General features: G+C 49.7%; 1 annotated feature.

Moving 5' to 3' along the window:
* Positions 3,826-4,325: an enhancer, noted in NCBI's record as "H3K4me1 hESC enhancer chr17:55828159-55828658 (GRCh37/hg19 assembly coordinates)". NCBI's record gives its function as "activates a minimal SCP1, AML or CMV promoter by ChIP-STARR-seq in naive H9 embryonic stem cells {active_cell/tissue: H9 hESC(naive)}" and the evidence as "EXISTENCE:reporter gene assay evidence [ECO:0000049][PMID:30033119]".

Here is a 6,000-nt window from a genome sequence, read left to right on the forward strand (position 1 = left end):
GTGTAAATACTCCCACCGTGGCCAGTTTCAAGCTACCAACATGATGTCACTGGGAAGAGATGCACAAAATCAGCTCTCATGAGCCTCTGCAAGCTGACTCTCGCACCACAGGGACCGTGATGAGGGCAGCTGCCTCCTCCGAGATGCAGATTAACCTATCTAGGGTGCCTTGTAGTAGGCATCAGAGAGGGCATTTTGCAGGGAGGTTCATGGCTAAACTAAGGTGGCATTTTCTGGGGGATTTTGTGGGGTTTTTAGCATAATAAAGTGTCAAGCAATAAGGTGAAATTTTAAATGGCAAGATGAAAAAAGCAACTTTGATTATTGAGACAGAATGGTGGAAAAAGCATTTTTCCAGGAGTCAGGAGATCTGGAGACTGGAATTGCTGTGTGACCCTAGGTCAATCACCTTCCCTCTCGGAACCTATTCCTTCCACCATAATGTGAGAAGGCAGGATTCAGCTGTTCTGACGTCTCTGATGTTTGAAGAATCCACACAGTCCTTCAATTAAACCTCTCCTGAGGCACTTAAAATCTCCCTCTTCTCGTGACTTAGGACTTTGTCCTTCCAGGTCCCTGATGGCACAGTGAACTCCATGAGGCCAGGGATCATGGATTTCTCACCCTGTGTACCTTCAAGCATCCTGCCTGGTGCCCTGCACATACTGGCACTCAGAGAACTAGATGAAATGGAACTTATTTTTACAGGTGGCTATCAAATCCCGGGCACCCTGGCTTTCCCGCTGACATGATGACACCTACTGGTCTTAGCAAAAACAGCAACTTCTTGATTCCACTACCTAAGAGCTAGATGGGGATTGAGGAGCTGATAAAAACAGCATGTGGTCTTGTGGTATATTTAATTAAGGGAGTGTGTGCATGTTGGACACATAATAGATTCTCAATAAATATTTTTTGAATCAGCAAAAAGGCAGTCTCTAACATTCTCTGAGTGCTTTTCTGTTTCTCTCTCTCTCTCTTTCTTTCTCTCTCTCTCTTTCTCTTATTTTCTGAGTCTTTGTCTGTGCCTCCCACGGGGAATGGTGGAAGTCATAACCAGATCTGCAAAAGAAAAGTAGTAAAAGTCACATGGAATAGCACTTTTTCCATTTCCATGGTGCTTTTTAATGACGTTGAAGTTTGCTTCTCAGAACCAGAGGGGAGGACGGTATTTCCACAAGAGCACAGCAGAGACTAGAAGCAAGTGAATGCTGTCAGCAGAAGACCCCAGGCTTGGTGGCCTCCCAAGCCTTCAGGGCAGCATCCTCAGCAGGGCAACTTAATGTGCATGTTCTCCTGAATGTTATCCTCCTAGAAATTTCATAATCAAGGACTATGCCTTTCTCACAAAATTTCCTTCCATATATACGAGGAAACTAAGAAAGCCAATCACTTTGTCCCCTTAAAGGTCTCAAGAAAAAGGAGTTCTAACATCTCCAGGCCTTGAACCCACTGTCAGATGGGTTTCTCTGTACCTGGCCTATTTCAGTGATTACAGCCTCCTCATGTCTCAGGATGTTGGGGGGACAAGAGGGGCACCTCAGCCCCACAGAGATCCCAGTACCACCCTTGAGAATCAGAGTAAACCTGAATGGGATGGGAGTCAGTAGTGGGCATGTTCTAATAGTTCCCCAGGTTGGGCATCACTGGGTCTGAGCACCATTCCTGCGGGACCCTGCCCATGGCTTGCCAGCAAAAGCCAGATGGTTTCCCCAGGACCCCACCCCATCCTATGCCTTCATCTGTCTCTGCAAATGAAATAAGCCTTGGTCCTTTTGGGGATTGGGAAAAGGGACATGACACAGAGGCACCCCTTCTTCATGTACCTTCTTTAAAGTGAGGAAAATGCTCAGAAGCTAGAAGCTCCTCACATCCCGTGAGTTAGAACCACATCCTTGGGCCCCTTCTAACTACATCACTGACTAGAGGGGTGGGGCTCCCACAGTTGGCTGAGGCCGATCACAGGCCCCTTCCTGGGACTGGGGCTGGGTCAGGCCTCCCTGAAGCACAAGGATCCCAGTACCAGAACCAAATTGGGGTTCTGTTCTCAAGCAAGAAAGGGAGAGGACGGGCAACCAACTGTGTCTTCCACAAAGAGTAATTAGATCTAAGGAAAAGACTCGGTGAAAGAACCATGCAAAATCCTCCCAAATGAACTACTAATGTGAGCTCACAGGCAGAGTGGGGAAGCAGTCTTCTGGGAGTCTCTTAAAACTGGTCTATCTAAGCCAGGCACGGTGGCTCACGCCTGTAATCTCAGCACTCTGGGAGGCCAAGGCGGGTGGATCACGAGGTCGGGAGATCAAGACCATCCTGGCTAACATGGTGAAACCCTGTCTCTACTAAAACTACATAAAATTAGCCGGGCATGGTGGCAGGCACCTGTAGTCCCAAGCTACTTGGAAGGCTGAGGCAGGAGAATGGCGTGAACCTGGGAGGTGGAGCTTGCAGTAAGCGGAGAGAGAGCAAGACTCCGTCTCAAAAAAAAAAACAACAAAAAAAACTGGTCTATCTCTCCCCATCCCCAAGAAGAAAAAATTATTAAAAAAAAAAAAAAAAAAAAACAGAACTCAGAGCAATCTGTCCAAACCCCAAAGAACATGTGATTGGATATTTCTAAAGGAGAGAGGACAGCTGTTGGCCCTATTTAGCCACTCTTTTCCCAGAATCTCCTGACCCGGTGCCTCCTATGGCCTGGGCAAGGATACTGTGATACAACCGGTGTCTTCTCAGATGTCCTCATAAAATGTCTTCCATCCATCCTTCCATTCATTCATCCATCCATCCATTATTCCATTCATCTACCCATCTGTCCAGCTATCCAGCCAGCCTTCCATCCATCTATCCATCTATTCAGCCAGCCAGCCTTCCGCCCATCCATTCGTTCATCCATCCATCCACCCATCTATCCAGCTATCCAGCCAGCCTTCCATCCATCTATCCATCCAGCCAGGCTTCCACTTCTCCATTCATCCATCCATTCAACCATCCATCCACTTACTCAGTGATAATCATCGAGTACCTACCCTGTGTACACTGAGCCAGGCAACTGAAATTCAAGAGAACAAGCAGGACAGAAAAAACTGCTCTCAAGCAGGCAGCATTTTGATGGAAGGAGACCAGTAAAGTAAGCAATCAACAAATAAGATGATTTAGGCTGGTGCTAAATCTCTGAAGGAAATAAGCAGTGGAAGGTGATAGACTTTCGGGTAGGAGTGGGCTCAGGGAGGGCCTTTGTGGGGGTTAGGGGGTGGGCAGCATCTGGGGCAAGACAGGAAGGAGGAGGAGACCTGGTGATAACATTCAGGAAGGAAGTGCAAGTGGAAAGGCCTGGGGCAGGAAGGGGCTCGAAGAGCCCAGAGGAGGCCTATGTGGCTGGTGGCAATGGGAAGTAGGGGGAGGAGGTCAGAGGGGCCGGACCATGTGGCAACCTAGCTGGGGGAGGCAGGGGTGGTATCCCCAGTGTTACGAGGGCTCTCCAGGGCTACTCCAGCTGTGCGCGGTTTCCACCTCTGCAGCTGGTATTCCAGTCAGGGGAATGGGGACAAGGCTGGGATGGGGGATGGGGACCAGGGTCAAGAACAAAACGTGGTGCTGTTCACTATGATTAATTAACCCAGCACCAGAGCCCCGAGCCGCGGTGCTAAAAATACCTGCTTCCCTCTGAGATGCGGCAGCTGCCACGCAGCAACTTTTACCCACGCCGTTTGTCATAATCTGACACTGCTAAGGAGTGTCCACAGGGCCGTGCGTCTGCAAGAATCGGACTCATCCGCAGTCCACCAGCCAGCTGGTCCTCGGAAACCATCCACGGCGCTGTCCTACCTTCACTCTCCTCCCATCCCTGAGCCCAGCCAATGTGCCTACCACCTGCCACTGCCTGCCGGTTCGCAGCTCCTCCTGGAACCGAGCGGACCACCCCCAGAGGTGGGAGCCAAAGCTTCCTCGAGAGCAGGAGGAGCGCATCGCTGGATGCCATGTTTCACACTCTGCAACTCCGCAACTCGGATTGGAGCCATCCATCAGAGGCCCTGCCAGCCCAGGGCGGCACTTTAATTAAAATATGTAAAACATCCTGGTGGGAGTGGAGCTGAAGACACAGGAGCAGGCCTTAGACACAAGCTGGCCCTTCTCCAGCCTGGGAGGGCTAGGACTGTGCCAGGAAGGCCCTCCGAAGCAGTCTGGGGGAGTGGTGATGTCTAATATGCACCAGCAGCCACTCCACTAAGCACAGAACTTAGCCAGGGCAAGAACATCTGCTTGAAAGAAAGCCACACCAGGTCCCCAGGCCAGCACGATGACCCTGAGAGCATGCTGGGAAGGACTTGGCATCACATCAGTTGTCAGTCTTAGGGGTGGGAATGTTCTATTCCCACTCTCAATTTTCTAAAGGACACATTGTGACGCTGATACCTGGACATTTATACAAACTCTTTAGCAAATCCATTTCCATTTCCCAGACAAATCAACTCCCCAAGTTCACTATTTGTTCAGACTTTGCTTTCTATGTTGAGAGGAAGCGTGGCAGCAGCTGCATTGTTTAGGGCAGGGGTGAGACAACTCTTTTGCACGGTTTGCGCAATATCAGAAAAAAATGTCTAGGCCAATTTTTTCAAACCAACTTTTAAAATATCATGAGATGCAATATTTAAAACTTGTTTTAAGCATCCTTTAAATTTATTTCCCCTATTATTGAAGGACTTTGTGATTGTTACTGAAACATCAGAACCTGAAGAGGCATGGTATGCTGCAGTCTCACTCTGCACTTTAGGCCTGCAGCACATTTTCTGGGCAATGACATAGATTGTGTGTAGCGCTGAGGGATTTGGTGTTGGGGAAGCAAACTGGACTCTGAGCCCAGCCAGAGACCAGGGACAAAGAAAAGCCCCATTAGGAGTTCCTGGTTCTGGTAGAGCAAGGGGTCGGGGGACTGTTTGGAAGCCTGTCTCGGTGGGGACAAGAGGCATTGCTGCAGGAGGCGATGGGTACCAAGCACAGCAGGGTGAGGAGAGATGCCCACGGGCTCTAAAATAAGCCTGCACACAGACAAGCTACTGCTCCCATCAGCCCGCACCCCTCCAACCAGCGACAACTTCCTCAGGGCAGAGCCAGAGCCACTGTCTGCATGTGGGGGTGTCAGGCTGAATTACGTGAGCTTAAAAACCAAATCCCCTCCTTCCTGGGTTACTTAACTGTCTGCCTGGCAAGGCTGGGAGACTACTGGTGACAGACACCAGGGCCTGCCTGGCTGCTCCAGACAGAGAAGCTTTGATCACCTGGAAAACTCCAGACACCAGGCCTCCTAATGATGAGTAATGAGCTCAAACCATCCGAAAGTTACCCTGCACCATGCACGGGGGACATGCACAGCTTCCACAGAAGCCTGGTGCAGGAAGCCAGTGCCCAGTCATCTAGTGTCCTAAGACAGAGTTTGACCCTGACTCCCACGCCACCCACCCCAGCCCCACCCAGAGTCTTGCCAGTTTGTTGATAAAGCAGGGAAGATTGTAAGCTCTGGGCACTTGCCTGTTCCAAGGGTTGATCTGGGGTCTAAAGGCCAGAATTTATCTTTATATTCAAGAATACAGCCTCCTCATTTGTTCATTCATTCATTCACTCATTCACATATTCAACACACATTTACTGAATGACTAAGACAAGCCAGGCACGGTGCTGAATGCTTAGGATAGAAGACACTCAAATGAGGCTTCTGTCCTGAGGGGATTTGCCATCTCCCATGGAGATAGCCTGCAAGTCCAGCATCACAAGACTCTGTGATAAGGAGCCTGACAGACTTGGCTACAGGGTGTTAAGATAGTCCAGAGGAGGGGCCTCTAAATTAGAGTGTCCCTTCCTTCTGGCAGTGAGAATAGGAGCAGGATGGGATGGAATTCAAATATTCCGGGTCCTTCTAGTCTAGGATCCTAGGCCTAGGTCCTTCCAGGCTATTTGAGCCTGTGAGAATCCCCAGTCTCAAGCTGTACCTGCATCACTTCATCT

This window comes from Homo sapiens, chromosome 17 (genome assembly GCF_000001405.40).
Source record: "Homo sapiens chromosome 17, GRCh38.p14 Primary Assembly".
Classification (NCBI taxonomy): domain Eukaryota; kingdom Metazoa; phylum Chordata; class Mammalia; order Primates; family Hominidae; genus Homo; species Homo sapiens.